The 19,305-nt window shown below is 52.0% G+C and overlaps 1 protein-coding gene and 1 non-coding gene across 8 annotated transcripts in view; both read right to left on the bottom strand.

Annotated features, from left to right (window-relative positions):
• LDLR (low density lipoprotein receptor) overlaps window positions 1-19,305 on the bottom strand; it is a 44,358-nt gene that overhangs the window by 3,002 nt on the left and 22,051 nt on the right. For 4 of the 7 annotated variants that reach the window (NM_000527.5, NM_001195798.2, NM_001195800.2 and 1 more), the window contains 10 exons: window positions 19,180-19,305; window positions 17,370-17,541; window positions 17,057-17,284; window positions 14,607-14,725; window positions 13,821-13,960; window positions 10,586-10,727; window positions 10,297-10,449; window positions 7,475-7,645; window positions 2,734-2,811; window positions 1,149-1,306 (listed from right to left, as the gene is read on the bottom strand). In NM_000527.5, the coding sequence (NP_000518.1) occupies window positions 1,149-1,306; window positions 2,734-2,811; window positions 7,475-7,645; window positions 10,297-10,449; window positions 10,586-10,727; window positions 13,821-13,960; window positions 14,607-14,725; window positions 17,057-17,284; window positions 17,370-17,541; window positions 19,180-19,305 (1,487 nt within the window). Of the gene's footprint in view, window positions 1-1,148; window positions 1,307-2,733; window positions 2,812-7,474; window positions 7,646-10,296; window positions 10,450-10,585; window positions 10,728-13,820; window positions 13,961-14,606; window positions 14,726-17,056; window positions 17,285-17,369; window positions 17,542-19,179 lie in introns of those variants that run through there. The other 3 variants (XM_011528010.3, NM_001195803.2, XM_047438831.1) reach the window with 3 other exon arrangements.
• Window positions 17,285-17,345, bottom strand: MIR6886 (microRNA 6886). Its single transcript, NR_106946.1, has one exon. It is a non-coding gene; the product is annotated as a microRNA 6886 (primary transcript).

The raw sequence follows: 19,305 nt of genomic DNA, 5'->3' as shown, positions 1-19,305 counted from the left end.
AGGAGTTCGAGACCAGTCTGGGCAACATGGCGAAACCTCGTCTCTACTAAAAATACAAAAATTACCCGGGCATAGTGTTGTAATCCCAGCTACTCAGGAGGCTGAGGCTGAGGCATAAGAATTGCTTGAACCCAGGAGGCAGAAGTTGCAGTGAGCCAAGATCACAGCACTGCACTCCAACCTGGGTGACAGAGAGAGACTCTGTCTCAAAATAAAAAATAAAAGCAAAAAAATAAAACACCTCCTCTCCCTTCCTCCCTCCTGGCCCTCTGGAAACCCTTCTTTGAATTTTTTTTTTTTTTTAAGAGACAAGGGCTTGCTCTGTCACCCAGGCTGGAGCGCAGTGACGCAATCACAAGTCACTGCAGTCTCAATCTCCTACCTTAGCCTCAAGCAATCCTCCTGCCTTAGCCTCCCTAGTAGCTGGAACTAGGCGCTCATCACCACACTGGGCTAAATTTTTATTTTTTGCAGAGATGGGGTCTTGCTGTGCTGCCCAGGCTGGTCTTGAACTCTGAGCTCAGGTGATTCTCCTGCCTCAACCTCCCCAAGTTCTGGGATCACATGTGTGAACCACCATGCCGGGCCTCTGAACTCCTTTTTTTTTTTTTTTTGAGATGGAGTTTTGCTCTTGCCTCCCGGGCTGGAATGCAGTGGCGCGATCTCGGCTCACTGCAACCTCTGCCTCCTAGGTTCAAGCGATTTTTCTACCTCGGCCTCCCGAGTAGCTGGGATTACAGGCGCCCACTCCCACGCCTGGCTAATTTTTTGTATTTTTAATAGAGACGGGGTTTTGTCATGATGGCCAAGCTGGTCTCAAACTCCTGACTTCAGGTGATCCGCCAGCCTCGGCCTCCCAAAGTCCTGGGATTACAGGCATGAGCCACCGCGCCCGGCCTCTGAACTCCTTTTGACTTTCTTTGCCCTGTCACCATCTGATGGAGCTCTCTATTTGCTTATCCAACATTCCTCTACACCACCAAGGCCATTGTCCGCTGACATTCTGAATGAGCGCACAGAAGCATTCACCTAATGCTGTCCTCGATCTGGAGGGCTGGGGAAGCCTCGGCCTGGTCCCTTGAGGATCATATGCCTCCAGCTGGGAGGGGGCCGCCATGGGCTCTGGCTTTCTAGAGAGGGTCACTCACCGAGGGGTAGCTGTAGCCGTCCTGGTTGTGGCAAATGTGGACCTCATCCTCTGTGGTCTTCTGATAGACGGGGTTGTCAAAGTTGATGCTGTTGATGTTCTTAAGCCGCCAGTTCTTCCATAGAAGGAAGACCCCCAGGCAAAGGAAGACGAGGAGCACTGTAGGGAGAGGCACGCTCTGTCACACAGCTGCCCCCGAGACCAGAGACCCAGCTCCGTGGCTGGAGTGAAAACACGGGCATCGTACCATAACCTTGACTCCTGGTCTTTTATGTTTGTTTAGAGATCGCCTTGCGGCCTGGGCCTGGTGGCTCACGCCTGTAATCCCAGCATTTTGGGAGGCTGAGGCGGGCGGATCATGAGGTCAAGAGTTCGAGACCAGCCTGGCCAACATGATGAAACCCAGTCAGTCTCTACTAAAAATACAAAAATTAGCTGGGCATGGTGGCGGGCGCCTGTAGTCCCAGCTACTCAGGAGGCTGAGGCAGGAGAATTGCTTGAACCCGGGAGGCAGAGGTTGCAGTGAGCCGAGGTTGAGCCACTGTACTCCAGCCTGGGCGACAGAGCGAGACTCCATCTCAAAACAAACAAACAGAAAAGAGGCAAATCTATGCATAAGAATTTTTTTCTTTCTTTTTTTTTTTTTGAGACGGGGTCTTGCTCTGTCACCAGGCTGGAGTGCAGTGACATGATCTCAGTTCACTGCAACCTCGACCTCCCAGGTTCAAGCGATCCTCCTGCCTCAGGCCCTCAAGTAGCTGGTACCACAGGCACGTGCCACCTGCCCAGCTAATTTTTGTACCTTTTCTAGAAACAGGGTTTCGCCATGTTGCCCAGGTTGGTCTCGAACTCCTGAGCCCAAGCAATCCACCCACTTCAGCCTCCCAAAGTGCTGGGATTACAGGCATAAGCCACCACACCCAGCCTCATAAGTATAAGAAATATCTAACCTGAAGCCCACTGGGTGAGCCACGCCCCAGAAGTAGCTGACTTCTTCTAGATTTCTGTCCAGGATTAGCCACACACAGGGCTGTGACTTTTTAAGAAATAGGAAGTGGGGTATAGTGGCTTGCACCAGCTACTCAGGAGGCTGAGGTGGGAGGATCGCTTGAGCCCAGACATTGAGGCTGCAGCGAGGCATGATGGTGCCACTGCACTCCAGCCTGGGTGACAGAGCAAGACTCTGTCTCTCAAAAAAATTAAATTTCTTTTTTCTTAAAATTTAAGAAAAAAAGAAAAAAGAGATGTGATGGTAACCGAGTTAGGATGAGCATGGGTGAGGCAGGGAGAGCGCGCCTCTCCACACAGCCCCCTGCAAGGGAACCAGTTCCCCAGAAGGCACTCAAATCTCGGTGAGGCTATTCCACAGCACGGGACCCAGCTCCACATCCTCCATCTGACCCCTTAGCTGTCTGATCTTGTCACTGTCAGCCCCAAGCCAGGAGAGGCCGTGGGGGTGATAAAGGACACCAGTGGGGCTGTTCCCTGTCCAGGAGAAAAAGTGAACAGGCCCAACCAGCCAGGCACGAGGTCACATAGCGGGAGGCTGTGACCTGGGGGACGCTGGGGGACCGGCCCGCGCTTACCGATGGGGAGGACAATGGACAGAGCCCTCACGCTACTGGGCTTCTTCTCATTTCCTCTGCCAGCAACGTCGCCCAGAGCTGCAGGAGAGAAGCAAGAGTGAGGCCCAGGTCTAAAGGAAGGCCACCAAGAAATGGAGCAGGCAGAGGACGGTGGTCACGGCAGGAAAGCGCCTGGCACATCTCCCTGGACACTTGGAGAACTTCCCAAGTCTGTGAGAGGCCACACGGGCTTATTTGTGAGTTATCGAGGTTGTAGGACTCAATTCCGGTTTAAGAAGGTTCTTTTTGTGGGGGATAGAAACAGAGGTCTGGCTATGTTGCCCAGGCTTGTCTTGAACTCCTGGCCTCAAGAGATCCTCCTGCCTCAGCCTTCCAAAGTGCAGGGATTACAGAAATGAGCCACCGAGCCCAGCCTAAGAAGGTTCTTGAGCCTCACATTGATGAGTCTTTAGGGGAGGGCTGCAGAGGCTTTTATTCTAGGTGGTTGACAAGGTTGCAGGTGAAATTCTTGTCAACCTACTTGTGCATTTTATTAAAATGAGCATATTTTGGTCTGGGCGCGGTGGCTCACACCTGTAATCCCAACACTTTGGGAGGCTAAGGCGGGCAGATCACCTAAGGTCAGGAGTTTGAGACCAGCATGATCAACATAGTGAAACCCTGTCTCTACTAAAAATACAAAATTAGCTGGCCGTGGTGGCATGCACCTGTAATCCCAGCTACTTGGGAGGCTGAGGGAGGAGAATCACTTGAACCCGGGAAATGGAGTTGCAGTGAGTCAAGATCGCGCCATTGCACTCCAGCCTGGGCAACAGAGTGAGACTCCCTCTCAAAAAAAAAAAAAAAAGGCCAGGCCCAGTGGCTCAAACCTGTAATCCCAGCACTTTGGGAGGCTGAGGTGGGCAGGTTGCCTGAGGTCAGGAGTTCAAGACCAGCCTGGCCAACACGGTGAAACCCTGTCTCTACTAAAAATACAAAAATTAGCCAGCTGTGGCGGTGGGCACCTGTAATCCCAGCTACTCAGGAGGCTGAGGCAGGAGAATCGCCTGAACCCGGGAAGCAGAGGTTGCGGGGAGCTGAGATCGCACCACTGCACTCTAGCTGGGGCAACAGAGCAAGACTTCGTCTCAAAAAAAAAAAAAAAAAAAAAAGAAGAAAAGAAAAAGAGGGTATTTTGAAGGGGACAGGGGAGCCACCTTCGGACCCCACAATGCCCAGCATGCTCAGTCCTGAGGTTGAATGGCACAGAAGCTGATTGTCCTGCATCAACTGTCCCAGGCATTATGGGATGGGGTTAACCTTGGTACAGAACCATACAAGTGGACCTGGGCCATTCAACATAAGGGCCCTGGGCAAGGCAACATTTCAAGTCCACTAGAGCTAGGCACGGTGGCTCATGCCTGTAATCGCAGCACATTAGTAGACCAAGGCAGGAGGATCACTTGAGGCCAGGAATTTGAGACCAATCTAGGCAATATAGCCAGATCCCCCTCGTCTCTACATAAATGAATGAATGAATGAATGGCTTTTTTGCCAAATTTGAGGAGTCCTGGATGGGCTGGTCTGTGAAGCGATTAATTCTAGCAGTGCCCCACCTCCCCCAAGCAAGAAGGTTTCTCAGCCTCTCCCAGGCAGTTTCCATTTTATCCTGCTTGTAACTGAACAAAGATTTCAGCTACTCTGGAACCAAAAAAAAAAAAAAAAAGAATGGTCTGAAATTTGCCGATGTGCCATTTTTTTTTGTTTGTTTGCTAAAAGTCTAGGAGCACCATTTCCCAGCAGCTCAAAGCAGTTTGGGCGCCCTCTGGTGGACAAACGAATGACATCCTGACCCACACCTGGGTCTCATCACATCCAGGGAGGACAGTGAGGCCAGGTCAGACACTCACCACCCCAGCCCCCAAACTAAAGGGGGAGCCAAAAAGCTTAGGAATCTGATAATATTCCTTTTCTTTGCAGAGGGGAATGGAGTTTCACTCTTGTCCTCCAGGCTGGAGTGCAATGGCGCAATCTCAGCTCACTGCAACCTCCGCCTCCTGGATTCAAGCGATTCTCGTGCTTCAGCCTCCCGAGTAGCTGGGATTACAGGCACCTGCCACCACGCCTGGCTAATTTTTGTATTTTTAGTAGAGACGGGGTTTCACCATGTTGGCCAGGCTGGTCTCAAACTCCTGACCTCAGGTGATCCACCCACCTCAGCCTCCCAAAGTGCTGGGATTACAGGTGTGAGCCACTGTGCCCTGCCCAGGAATCCAATAATATTCTAATGCATTATTTTTATTTTTAGAGATGGGGGTCTCGCTATGTTGCCCAGGCTGGACTTCAACTCTTGGGCTCAAGCAAGTCTCCCGCCTCAGCCTCTGGGAGTAGCTAGGACTGCAGGCGTGCACCTCCACACCAGCCTTTAATATGTTATTTTTTAAAATTTAAATTAATGAAAAACCACCCAATGAACAAAATATCAAAATTTTCAAGGATAGACTGTGATCTTACACCTGCAAGATTCGGCCTCACTGGTCCACTGGCTCCAATAAAACTTTATTTACAAAAGTAAGTGGCCAGGCCTTGGCTGTAGTGTGATGATTTGAAAAAAAAAAAAAAAAAACAATTTTTTTGGAGACAGAGTTTTGCTCTGTCACTGAGGCTGGAGTCCAGTGGCATGATCTTGGCTTACTGCAACTTCTGCCTCCCAGGTTCAAGCAATTCTCCACCCTCAGCATCCCAAGTAGCTGGGATTACAGGCACCCACCACTGTGCCCAGGTAATTTTTGTATTTTTTTAGTAGACAGGGGGTTTCACCATGTTGGCCAGGCTAGTCTCGAACTCCTGACCTCAAGTGATCTGCCCACCTTTGCCTCCCAAGGTGTTGTGAATACAGGCATGAGCCACCAGGCCTGGCCAAAAAATTTTTTAAATTGCATTAATCTCAGCACTTTGGGAGGCCAAGGTGGGCAGATCGCTTGAGCCCTGGAGTTAGAGACAAGTCTGGGCCACAAGGTGAAACCCTGTCTCTACAAAAAAATTCAAAAATTAGCTGGGTGTGGTGGCTCATGCCTGTAGTCCCAGCTACCTGGGAGACTGAAGCAGGAAGATCACCTGAGCCCAGGGAGGTTGAGGCTGCAGTGAGCCATGACAGCACTCTATCACTCCAGTCTGGGGTACACAGTGAGACCGTGTCCCAAAAAAATAAAAATAAAAAAGTTTTGGCTGGGCACGGTGGCTCATGCCTGCAATCCCCAGCACTTTGGGAGGCCGCCGATCCTCGGGCAGATCACGAGGTCAGGAGTTCCAGACCAGCCTGCCCAACATAGTGAAACCCCATCTCTACTAAAAATACAAAAATATTAGCTGGGTATGGTGGTGGGTGCCTGTAATCCCAGCTACTCGGGAGGCTGAAGCAGGAGAATCACTTGGACCTGGGAGGCGGAGGTTGCAGTGAGCCAAGATGGCGACACTGCACTCCAGCCCGGGTGACAGTGAGAGACTCCGTTTCAAAGAAAAAAAAAATTTTTTTAATATATTGCATTGCCATGTTGAATAGTTGGGTTTTAAAAGAAAAAAAATTAGTTTATTTATTATTTATTTTGTAGTAGAGATAGGGTCTTGCTATGTTGCCCAGGCTGGACTTGAACTCCTGGGCTCAAGCCATTCTCCCACCTTGGCCTCCCAAAGTGCTGAGATTACAGGTGTGAGCCACCAAAGAATAAACTGTAGGCCAGGCGCGGTGGCTCACATCTATAATCCCAGCACTTTGGCAGGGCCAAGGCAGGCAGATGACTTGAGGTCAGAAGTTTGAGACCAGCCTGGCCAACACTGTGAAACCCCATCTCTACTAAAAATGCAAGAATTAGCCAGGCATGGTGGCGGGTGCCTGTAATCCCAGCTACTCTACATGGGAGGCTGCGGCAGAAGAATCACTTGAACCTGGGAAGCGGAGGTTACAGTGAGCCCAGACTGCGTCACTGCAGTACAGCATGGGCGAGAGCGAGACTCTGTCTCAAAAAAAAGGCCAGGCGTGGTGGCTCACACCTGTAATCCCAGCACTTTGGGAGGCTCAGGCGGGTGGCTCACCTGAGGTTGAGAGTTCACGACCAGCCTGACCAACAGAGAAGCCCCTTCTGTACTAAAAATACAAAATTAGCCGAGCGTGGTGGCGCATGCCTGTAATCCCAGCTACTCGGGAGACTGAGGCAGGAGAATCGCTTGAACCCGGGAGCCAGAGGTTGCAGTGAGCCGAGATCGTGCCACTGCACTCCAGCCTGGGCAACAAGAGCAAAACTCCGTCTCAAAAAAAAAAATTGTAAAATTGTGTTAAAACGTTACTGGATTCCTTAGCCTTTTGGAGCCTCTGTGAAAAGCTGAGTACTGAGGAATCCCTCCCTCTCCTTGCCTTAGTCCTGGCCTTTTTGGGCAGATGCCTGAAGCTGAGGCAACGAATGTGCCTTGATAAAATTTTGGGACCCACACGGTGCGTGGCTGACTTTGGGAACCAGGAGCCTGAAGGACCTGGCCCCTCATATGATTTGGCCCATTTAATCCTTGCAAAGAGGGCAAGAACTGTTATTAGACCCACTTTACAGATAGGGAAACTGAGGGCCCAGAGACACACGGCCCAAGTGAGAGAAGGTCAGCAAGGGAGTGAGGACGACACCTGGACTCCATCTCGTGACCAAAATGTTCGTGGCCACTGAAGGGACCCGTCTCTGGGTGAAGAGGGGCCTAGGGAGGGCCCAGTCTTTACCTTGGTGAGACATTGTCACTATCTCCACCGTGGTGAGCCCAGGGGTGGCCCCAGGCAGCCGGGAGGTGTCGGGAACAGGTCGGGTGGTTGTGTGCTGTGTCCTTACGGCTGTGGAGCTGACCTTTAGCCTGACGGTGGATGTCTCCTGGGTGGCCACTGCAGCCTCAGCCTCTGAAAGAATAAATAAACGTCTTCTGAGTGCCACGTGCCTGCAGGCCCTTCTCATAGGTGTGCGCCTAATGACGAAAGTCTCAAATGACCTTGGGAGGCCAAGGCAGGAGGATCTCTTGAGTGAGTCCAGGAGTTTAAGACTAGCCTGGTCAACATGGCAAAATACCATCTCTATATACAAAAAAAAAAAAAAAAATTAGCCAGGTGTGGTGGTGCACACCTGTACTCCCAGCTACTCAGGAGGCTGAGGGGGGAGGATCGCTTGAGCCCAGGAGGTAGAGGCTGCAGCAAGGTATGATCCCATCACTGGGATGACAGACAGACAGGATGGCCTGGATGACAGAGTAAGACCCTGTCTCAAAAAAAAGAAACCCAAAAATAATTATTAATAAAATTTTTAAAAAGTCCAAAATCAGGCCAGGCACAGTGGCTTAGGCTGGGTGAGGTGGCTCAGGCTGGGCGAGGTGGCTCACACCAGGCGAGGTGGCTCATACCTTTAATCCCAGCACTTTGGGAGGCCGAGGCAGGTGAATCGCCTGAGGTTAGGAGTTCAAGACCAGCCTGGCTAACATGGTGAAACCCCGTCTCTACTAAAAATACAAAAAAATTAGCCGAGTGTGGTGGCGGGCCCCTGTAGTCTCAGCTACTTGGGAGGCTGAGGCTGGAGAATGGCGTGAGCCTGGGAAGTGGAGCTTGCAGTGAGCTGAGATCATGGCACTGCACTCCAGCCTGGGCGACAGAGCAAGACTCCGTCTCAAAAAAAAAAAAAAAAAAAAAAGCCTGGCATGGTGGCTCACGCCTGTAATCCCAGCACTTTGGGAGGCCGAGGCGGGCGGATCACAAAGTCAGGAGATCGAGACCATCCTGGCTAACACAGTGAAACTCCATCTCTACTAAATATACAAAAAAGTAGCCGGGCGTAGTGGCAGGCGCCTGCAGTCCCAGCTACTCAGAAGGCTGAGGCAGGAGAATGGCATGAACCCAGGGGGCGGAGCTTGCAGTGCGCAGACATCGCACCGCTGCACTCCAGCCTGGGCGACGGAGTAAGACTCTGTCTCAAAAAAAAAAAAAAAAAAAAAAGAAATAACTAAAAAAGGCCAGACACGGCCAGGCGCGGTGGCTCATGTCTGTAATCCCAGAACTTTGGGAGGCCGAGGTGGGTGGATCACCTGAGGTCAGGAGTTTGAGACCAGCCTGACCAACATGGAGAAACCCCGTCTCTACTAAAAGTACAAAAATTAGCCAGGCGTGGTGGCAGGTGCCTGTAATCCCAGCTACTCGGGAGGCTGAGGCAGGAGAATTGCTTGAACCCAGGAGGCAGAGGTTGCAGTGAGCCGAGATCACACCATTGCACTCCAGCCTGGGCAACAAGAGCGAAACTCCATCTCAAAAAAAAAAAAAAAAAAGGCCAGGTGCAGTGGCTCATGCCCATAATCCCAACACTTTGGGAGCCCAAGGCAGGCAGATCACGAGGTCAGGAGATCGAGACCATCCTGGCTAACATAGTGAAACCCCATCTCTACTAAAAAATACAAAAAATTAGCTGGGCGTAGTGGGACGTGCCTATAGTCCCAGCTACTGGGGAGGCTGAGGCAGAAGAAGCGCTTGAACCCAGGAGGCGGAGGTTGCAGTGAGCCAAGCGCTTGAACCTGGGAGGCAGAGGCTGCAGTGAGCCAAGATCGTGCCACTGCACTCCAGCCTGGGCAACAGAGCAAGACTCCGTCTCAAAAAAAAAAAAAAAAAAAAAAAAGAGTACTGAAAATAAACACTATGAATATCTACTTTGTGATCGTATTGTTTCTTTTTCCTTTTTCTTTTTTTGTTTTTTTCAGACAGGGTTTCACTTTGTCCCCCAGGCTGGAGTGAAGTGGTGTGATTATAGCTCTCTGTAGCCTTGACCTCCTGGGCTCAAGCAATCCTCACACCTCAGCCTCCCGAGTAGCTGGGACCACAGGTGTGAGCCACCACGTCTGGGTCATATTGTTATTTGTTGTTGTTCAAAAGGGAGATTCAATTCACTTGAGGGAGGTGCTGGCCTCAACTGAGACTTTCTCAGAGGATGAGAAAAGTCAACAAAGGGGGATGGGCGCGGTGGCTCATGCCTGTAATCGTAGCACTTCGGGAGGCAGAGGTGGGAGGATCACCTGAGGTCAGGAGTTCAAGACCAGCCTGGCCACCATGGAGAAACCCTGTCTGTACTAAAAATACAAAACTTAGCCAGGCATGGTGGCGCATGCTTGTAATCCCAGCTACTTGGGAGGCTGAGGCAGGAGAATTGCTTGAACCCAGTGGGAGAGGTAGCAGTGAGCCAAGATGGCACCACTGCATTCCAGGCTGGGTGACAGCAAATCTCAAAAGAAAAAAATAAAGAAAAAGAAAAGTCAACAAAGGGGACCATTTCCTCCCTCAGGGCTCCTGTCAGAAATCAGATCACCTCTTCAGGGGGCCGGGAAAGAGGAAACCAGGCATCAAAGGGGAACTGGGTAAATGTCAAGCCCGGTGCTGATGTGTCCATCCAAGAAAAGTATGGTTATCCCGACTCATGAGTCCTTACAACGACCTTGAGGTACCCATTTGACAGATGAGCAGAGAGAGGCTCAGGAGGGGGCAGTTGGAGGACACAGGACGCAGAAACAAGGCGTGTGCCACACCTGTGAGGCAGCTCCTCATGTCCCTGGCCAGCAGCATGCCGTCCGGGCAGGCGCAGGTAAACTTGGGCGAGTGGGGGTTGATCTGCGGGGCAGGGAGGCACAGATACTGGCAGCCGCCATTGCTCAGGGTGGTCCTCTCACACCAGTTCACTCCTGGGGCAGAAGAAGCGGAGTCAGGGCAGGAACGAGATCATCAGCTATACCAGAAGATTCCAGAAATTTCCAGAACATTCCAGAGTTTCCACAAGGAGGTTTCAAGGTTGGGGGGGTGGGGCTGACCCACCCTTACCTCTTGGCTGGGTGAGGTTGTGGAAGAGAACCATATCCTCTGGGGACAGTAGGTTTTCAGCCAACAAGTTGACATCGGAACCTGTGAGGCGGTTGGCACTGAAAATGGCTTCGTTGATGATATCTGTCCAAAATACTTTGTCCTAAACAGGCAGCAAGGAAGATGACAAATCCCGTTAAACACTGGGATGAGACACAGGCCACCCTCTCTCCACAACTAGTTTTTTTGTTTGTCTGTTTGTTTGTTTGTTTGTTTGTTTCAGACAGAGTTTCACTTTTGTTGCCCAGGCTGGAGTACAGTGGCCCAATCTCGGCTCACTGCAACGTCCACCTCCTGGGTTCAAACGATTCTCTTGCTTCAGCCTCCCGAGTAGCTGGGATTACAGGTGTGCCAACATACCTGACTAATTTTTTGTATTTTTAGTAGAGACGGGCTTTCACCATGTTGGCCAGGCTGGATTCGAACTCCTGACCTCAGGCCATCCACCTACCTCGGTCTCCCAAAGTGCTGGGATTACAGGCGTGAGCCACAGTGCCTGACCCACAGCTAATTTTTTTTTTGGTTTTTTTTTTGAGACGAAGTCTCACTCTGTCGTCCAGGCTGGAGTGCAGTGGCACGATCTCGGCTCACTGCAATCTTAGCCTCCCAGGTTCAAGCGATTCTCCTGCTTCAGCCTCTCAAGTAGCTGGGACTACAGGCATGTGCCACCACGCCTGGCTAATTTTTGTATTTTTAGTAGAGATGGGGTTTCACCATGTTGGCCTGGCTGGTCTCGAACTGCTGACCTCATGATCCACCTCCCTCTGACCTCCCAAAGTGCTGGGATTACAGGCATGAACCACCACACCTGGCCCACAACTAGTTTTTAATTGTGGTGAAATACACATAACATAAAATGTACCATCTCGACTATTTGTGAGTGCACAGTTCGGTGGCCTTAAGCAGATTCACGCTGTTGTGGAAGTATCACCATCACCACCATCCATTTCCAGAACTTTTTTTTTGTTGTTTTTTGAGACAGAGTCCCACTCTGTCGCCCAGGCTGGAGTGCAGTGGCATGATCTTGGCTCACTGCAGCCTCCACCTCCTGGGGTCAGGCAATTCTCATGCCTCGGTCTCGAGAACCCAGGATTACAGGTGCCTGCCACCACACCTGGCTACTTTTTGTATTTTTTTTTTTTTTTTTTTTTTTGAGACGGAGTCTCAACTCGGTCACCCAGGCTGGAGTGCAGTGGCGCGATCTTGGCTCACTGCAAGCTCCGCCTCCCGGGTTCACGCCATTCTCCCGCCTCAGCCTCCCGAGTAGCTGGGACTACAGGCGCCTGCCACCACACCCGGCTAATTTTGTTTTTGTATTTTTAGTAGAGACGGGGTTTCACCGTGTTAGCCAGGATGGTCTCGATCTCCTGACCTCGTGATCCGCCCGCCTCGGCCTCCCAAAGTGCTGGGATTACAGGCGTGAACCACCGTGCCTGGCCTACTTTTTGTATTTTTTGTAGAGACAGAGTTTCGTCATGTTGGCCAGGCTGGTCTCGGTCTCACACTCCTGGACTCAAGCGATCCTCCTGCCTCAGCCTCCCAAAGTTCTGGGATTATAGGCATAAACTGCCATACCCAGTTTAAATCTCTTTTCTTTATAAATTACCCGGCCTCAGCTATTCCTTTACTGCAATGCAAATGGACGAACACACTTGGGGGGACTCCACTTTTGGCTGTTGGTAATCATGCCAGGAACGTGGGGTTATAAAATAGCGCCATTTCCTTAGAGCAGGGTTTCCCCACGATGGCTCTATCTAGGGCCTGCTACTTCCCTGTTCTGGGTGTTCAGCAGCGTCACCAGCCTCTACCCACTAAATGCCAACAGTCTTCCCCATTGACTTGTGACAACCAAAAAATCTCTAGAAATTGCCAAATGTCCCCTGAGAGCCAAGATCACATGTGACAGAGGATCACTGCCTTTCACGACTCTCAGTAAAAAGAATACAAACCACCGGGCACGGTGGCTCACGCCTGTAATCCCAGCACTTTGGGAGGCAGAGGTGGGCGAATGACCTGAGGTCAGGAGTTCGAGACCAGCCTGGCCAACATGGAGAAACCCCATCTCTACTAAAAATACAAAATCAGCCGGGCGTGGTGGCACATGCTTGTAATCCCAGCTACTAAGAAGGCTGAGGCAGGAAAATGGTTTGAACCCAGGAGGCAGAGGTTGTGGTGAGGCGATATCGTGCCATTGCACTCCATCCTGGGCAACAAAGGTGAAATTCCGTCTCCAAAAAACGAAAAAAAAAAGAAAACAAACCGGCCGCAGTGGCTCATGCCTGTAATCCCAGCACTTTGGGAGACTGAAGTGGGAGGATCACTTGAGGCCGGGAGTTTAAGACAAGCCTGGTCAACATACTGAGACCCCATCTCTAAAAAAAAATACAAAAATCAGCCAGGTATGATGGCACACATGCCTGTAATCTCAACTACTCAGGAGGCTGAGGCAGGAGAATCGCTTGAACCTGGGAGGCAGAGGTTGCAGTGAGCCAAGATTGTACCACTGCACTCCAGCCGGGGTGACAGAACGAGACTGTCTCAAAAAAAAAAAAAATACAAAAATGAGCTGGGCATGGTGGTGTGCACCTGTAGTTCCAGCTACTTGGGAGGCTGAGGTGGGAAGATCACTTGAGCCCAGGAGGTTAAGGCTGCAGTGAGCTATGATCACAGCACTGCACTCCTGCCTGGGGACAGAGTGAGATCCTGTCTCTTAGAAAAAAAAAAAGAAGAAGAAGAAAGAAAGAAAACAGAAATAGCTGGGCGCGGTGGCTCAAGTCTGTAATCCCAGCACTTTGGGAGGCCGAGGCAGGCAGATCACCTGAGGTCGGGAGTTCGAGACCAGCCTGACCAACATGGAGAAACTCCGTCTCTACTAAAAATACAAAATTAGCCGGGCATGGTGGTGGTGCATGCCTGTAATCCCAGCTACTGGGGAGCCTGAGACAGGAGAATCACTTGAACCTGGGAGGTGGAGGTTGCGGTGAGCCGAGATCATGCCATTGCCCTCCAGCCTGGGAAACGAGAGCAAAACTCTGTCTCAAAAAAAAAAAAAAAAAGAAAGAAGAAAATAGAAATAACTCAGGTCTAAGACCTCCTCCTAGTCACAACCAGTTTTCTGCGTTCATCTTGGCTTGAGTGATCTATAGTCTGTGTCTATCCGCCACCTAAGTGCTTGCATCTCGTACGTAAGCCACACCTCAAAGACGGCCAAGGAGAAGGGGTGGGCCAGCCTCTTTTCATCCTCCAAGATGGTCTTCCGGTTGCCCCCGTTGACATCGATGCTTGAGATGGAGTGAAGTTTGGAGTCAACCCAGTAGAGGCGGCCACTGAGGAGATCTAGACACACAAGTGGATAAGGAGAGGTCACGTGCTGATGCCAGTCCCAGAGGGTCCTGAGGGCCTGGCCACGCTGCTCCGGGCAGGAAGACCCCCTGCCAGGGACCTAGCAGAAAAGCACCTGGAGAGGCAGCTCCAACCACATGTGAGCCTGAACCCCTCCCCTGTGACGCCCTCTCCAATGGGCAGGTAGGGGAGTTGCAGGTCAGAAAAACTTCAAGGAGGCTGGGTACGGTGGCCCACGCCTGTAATCCCAGCAGTTTGGAAGGCTGAGGCGGGAGGATCGCTTGCACCCTGAGTTTGAGACCAGCCAGGCCAACATAACAAGACTTTGTCTCTTCCCAAAAATAAAATAAAATTAGTCTGCCGTGGTGGCACGTGTCTGTAATCTCAGCTACTCAGGAGGGTGAGGCAGGAGGATCACTTGAGCCTGGGAGGTGGAGGCTGCAGTGAGCTACGATTGCGCCAGTGCACTCCAGCCTGGGTGACAGACCAAGACCTCATCTCAAAAAAAGAAAAAACAAAGAAAAGAAAGAGGGAAACCTTCAGGGAGCAGCTTGGGCTTGTCCCAGAGCCACCTGGCAACCCCCGTCTGTCCTCCAGCCTGTGCCCGGCCCTGGCTGGGACGGCTGTCCTGCGAACATACCTAGGGTGATGCCATTGGGCCACTGAATGTTTTCAGTCACCAGCGAGTAGATGTCCACACCATTCAGGCCCCCTTTCTTGATCTTGGCGGGAGTTCCCCAGTCAGTCCAGTACATGAAGCTGGTGGGAGGACAGAGAATAGCTGTGAGGCTGGAGGGCGGGGGAGGATCCCAGCCAATGCGTGCAACGAATTCTGGAAGAAACAGCCAGGCTCAGGCTTGGGAAATAGTCCTGCTGGGAACCCCAAACTCCAAATGTGGCTTGTTTGGGTTTTTTTTTTTTTTTTTTGAGACAGAGTCTGTCTCTGTTGCCCAGGCTGGAGTGCAGTGGCACGATCTTGGCTTGCTGCAACCTCCACCTTCCAGGCTCAAGCGATTCTCCTGCCTCAGCCTCTGGTGTAGCTGGGATTACAGGCGCCCACCACCACGCCTGGCTACATTTTTGTATTTTTAGTAGAGACGGGGTTTCACCATGCTGGCCAGGCCCGGGAGGCTGAAATCAAGAGGATTGCTTGAGCCCAGGAAGTTGAGGCTACAGTGAGCTATGATCACACCACTGCACTCCAGCCTGGGTGGCAGACTGAGACGCCATCTCGAAAGAAAAAGGAAGAAACACAAGAACACAAGCCATGCGCAATGGCTCGCACGTGTAATCCCAGCACTTTGGGAGACCAAGGCAGGAGGATTGCTTGAGGCTAGGAGGTCAAGACCAGCCTGGGCAACATAGTGAGACCTCATCTCTACTAAAAATAAAATAAATTAGCTGGGCACAGTGGTGTTCACCTGTAGTTCCAGCTACTTGGGAGGCTGAAGTGGGAGAATCAACTGAGCCCAAGAGTTTGAGGCTGCAGTGAACTCTGATTGCGCCACTGCACTCCAGACTCAGTGACAGAGCGACACCCTGTCTCAAAACAAACAAATATGAGACCAGAACACACGCACACAACACACACATTTGTATCTGAGTGGAGACAGTCTGAGAGTCTCTTTCCCTCTGGCCTGGCAGTTATGTGGCCAAACACACTGGGCCACATGTACCCCACCCATTGTTCTGTGGCAACAGCGAGCATTGTCTTGTTTAAAAGAGATCCAGGGTTGGGTTGGGCACAGTGGCTCATGCCTGTAATCCCCGCTGTTTGGGAGGCTGAGGCAGGCAGATTACTTGAGGCTAAGGGTTCGAGACCAGCCTAGCCAACATGGTGAAACCCAGTCTCTACTAAAAATACAAAAAATTAGTCAGGCATGGTGGTACATGCTTGTAATCCTAATTAGTTGGGAGGTTGAGGCAGGAGAATCACTTGAACCTGGGAGGCGGAGGCTGCAGTGAGCCGAGATCACGCCACTGCAATCTAGCCTGGGCGACAGAGCGAGACTCCGTCTCAAAAAATAAAAAATAAAAAGGGGGCCGGGCGTGGTGGCTCACGCTTGTAATCCAAGCACTTAGGGAGGCCGAGGCGGGTGGATCACAGGGTCAGGAGATTTAGACCATCCTGGCTAACGCGGTGAAACCCCGTCTCTAATAAAAATGCAAAAAATTAACCGGGCGTGGTGGCGGGTGCCTGTAGTCCCAGCTACTCGGGAGGCTGAGGCAGGAGAATGGCGTGAACCTGTGAGGCGGAGCTTGCAGTGAGCCGTGATCGCACCACTGCACTACAGTCTGGGCGACAGAGCGAGATTCCATCTCAAATAAATAAATAAATAAAAATAAAAAGGGACGCTGGCCATAGCGGGCCCACCTTCACCCGCAGGCATCTGATGATGCTCTCTTCCCTGCTTTTCCCTTCCAGACACCAAGTGTGCCTTCTCCAGTGTTCTCTGCTGGAAACCCAACATTCACCTCCTGATTGTAGCTGCAAGGACAGTGTGCGTCCCGGGTTGTCAGCACCACACTGAAACTGTGAAATGCCACCTCTCACGTGCTTAGGTAGCAGATGTCACCTGACAGGTACAGAGTACACCGGGCAGGTGGCAGGGGCGATGCTTCCTGCCAGGGGACACAGGTCACAGTGTCTTGACCCAGGAGCTGCTGAGTCAGCCATGGGCTTGGAAGATACCATCCTGTTGTCTAGCCACTAACCAGTTTTTTGTTTAGTTTTTTTTTTTTTTTTTGAGACGGAGTCTCACTCTGTCACCCAGGCTGGAGTGCAGTGGGGCTGTCTTGGCTCACTGCAACCTCCATCTCCCAGGTTCAAGTGATTCTCCTGCCTCAGCCTCCCGAGCAGCTGGGATTACAGGTGCCCACCACCACACCCGGCTAATTTTTGTATTTTTAGTAGAGACGAGGTTTCACCATGTTGGTCAGGCTGGTCTTGATGATCCACCCACCTTGGCCTCCCAAAGTGCTGGGATTACAGGTGCTTTGAGCCACCATGCCCAGCCCACTAACCAGTTCCTGAAGCTCCTTCCTGCTCCCTCCATTCCCTCTGCAGCCCTCAGCGTCGTGGATACGCACCCATGAACAGGATCCACCACGATGGCCCTTGGCTTGGAGCCGTTCTCCCTGAATAACGTTTTCCTCTTCACGCCCTTGGTATCCGCAACAGAGACAGTGCCCAGGACAGAGTCGGTCCAGTAGATGTTGCTGTGGATCCAGTCCACAGCCAGCCCGTCGGGGGCCTGGATGTCTCTGCTGATGACGGTGTCATAGGAAGAGACGCCGTGGGCTCTGTCAAGCTGGGTGCTGAGGCAGGAGGAGAGAAGGGCATCAGCGCCAGGAGCCCTCATCTCACCTGCGGGCCAAGGCTGCAGGCAGGGGCGACGCTCACCTGCAGATCATTCTCTGGGACAGGTCAGACCAGTAGATTCTATTGCTGGCCACCTCCGTGTCCAGAGCGACCACGTTCCTCAGGTTGGGGATGAGGCTGGTGTACTCGCTCCGGTCCAGCGTCATCTTCCTGACCTCGTGCCGGTTGGTGAAGAAGAGGTAGGCGATGGAGCCTGGGGGTCCGGGGAGCGAGGTCAGGGGGTCAGAGGGGACCCGTCGATGGAACCAAGAGTGCCTCCCCATCCCCTTGTGTCATCCTGCAGGGTGCGGCTGAGCCAGAGGAGGCACCCAGAAAAAGAGGGTGGAAAAGACCTCCCAACGGGAACAGGCACAGTGGCGCCCACCTGTAATCCCAGCACTTTGGGAGGCTGAGGGAGGAGGATCACTTGAGGCTAGGAGCATAAGGCTAGCCTGGGCAAGACAATGAGACCTTATTGCCACAAAAAAAAAAAAAAAAAAAAAAGCCAGGCACGGTGGCTCAAGCCTGTAATCCCAGCACTTTGGGAGGCTGAGGCGGGAGAATCGAGACCAGCCTCACCAACATGGTGAAACCCTGTCTCTACTAAACATACAAAAACTAGCCAGGTTTGGTAGCCGGAACCTGTAATCCCAGCTACTCAGAAGGGTGAGGCAGGAGAATTGCTGGAACCTGGGAGGTGGAGGTTTCAGTAAGCCAAGATCGCACCACCGCACTCCAGCCTGGGTGACAGAATGAGACTCTGTCTCAAAAAAAAAAAAAAAAAAATTAACCAGGCATGGTGGCACATGCCAGTACTCCCAGCTCCTCCAGAGGCTTAGGCGGGACGATCACGTGAACCCAGGAGGTCAAGGCTGCAGCGAGCTATGATGGAGGCTGCACTGCACTACAGGCTGGAAGATAGAGCAGCACCCTGTCTCTAAAAAATAATAATAGCCAGGTGTGGTGTCTGTAATCCCAGCACTTTGGGAGGCCAAGGCAGGAGGATCACTTGGGTTCAGGAGTTCAAGACTAGCCTGGCCAACATGGTGAAACCCTGTTTTTACTAAAAATATGAAAATTAGCGGCTGGGCGCAGTGGCTCACGCCTGTAATCCGAGCACTTTGGAAGGCCGAGGTGGGCGGATCACGAAGTCAGGAGATCGAGACCATCCTGGCTAACACAGTGAAACCCCGTCTCTACTAAAAATACAAAAAAATTGGCCTGGTGCAGTGGCGGGCTCCTGTAGTCCCAGCTACTGGGGAGGCTGAGGCAGGAGAATGGCGTGAACCCGGGAGGCGGAGCTTGCAGTGAGCCGAGATCCTGCCACTGCACTCCAGCCTGGGCAACAGAGCGAGACTCCGTCTCGAAAAAAAAAAAAAAAGAAAAAAGAAAATTAGCCAGGCATAGTGGCATGCACCTGAGGTCCCAGCTACTCCGGAGGCTGAGGTGGGAGGATCAACCAATCCTCCTGCCCTCAAGCAATCCTCCCGCCTCAGCCTTCTGAGTAGCTGGGACCACAGGTGTGTGGCACCATGCCCAGCTAATTTTTTTTCTTTAACCCCTTGAAGTCACTCCCCAGGTTGTCCCTGAAAGGAAAGCCGGTTCCTGTTCCACCAGTAGGGCTGAGGGTTCCGTTAACTGGATATTCCCAAAAACTAGGACATATGCAGGCATCCCCCTGGCAAGCCCAAGTCCTAACAGGGCGGCAGACTCCCCTGCCAGAGCCCTCAGGAGCAAACAGCCTCCCGGTCAGGGGATATGAGTCTGTGCAAAGTTCAGAGGATGAAACTCCCCCACCACTGCTGCCTGCAAGGGGTGAGGCCGCCCCCACCCGCCGCCTTCCCGTGCTCACCCACAGCCTTGCAGGCCTTCGTGTGGGGGTCCAGCTGGAAGCCTTCCTCACACTGGCACTTGTAGCCACCCTCCAGGTTCACGCAGAGCTGGCTGCAGGTGTCGGGATCCTGACACTCATCGATAT

The sequence above is a fragment of the Homo sapiens genome, chromosome 19, assembly GCF_000001405.40.
Source record: "Homo sapiens chromosome 19, GRCh38.p14 Primary Assembly".
NCBI classification, from domain to species: domain Eukaryota; kingdom Metazoa; phylum Chordata; class Mammalia; order Primates; family Hominidae; genus Homo; species Homo sapiens.
This window is presented reverse-complemented; position numbering and strand designations above follow the sequence as displayed.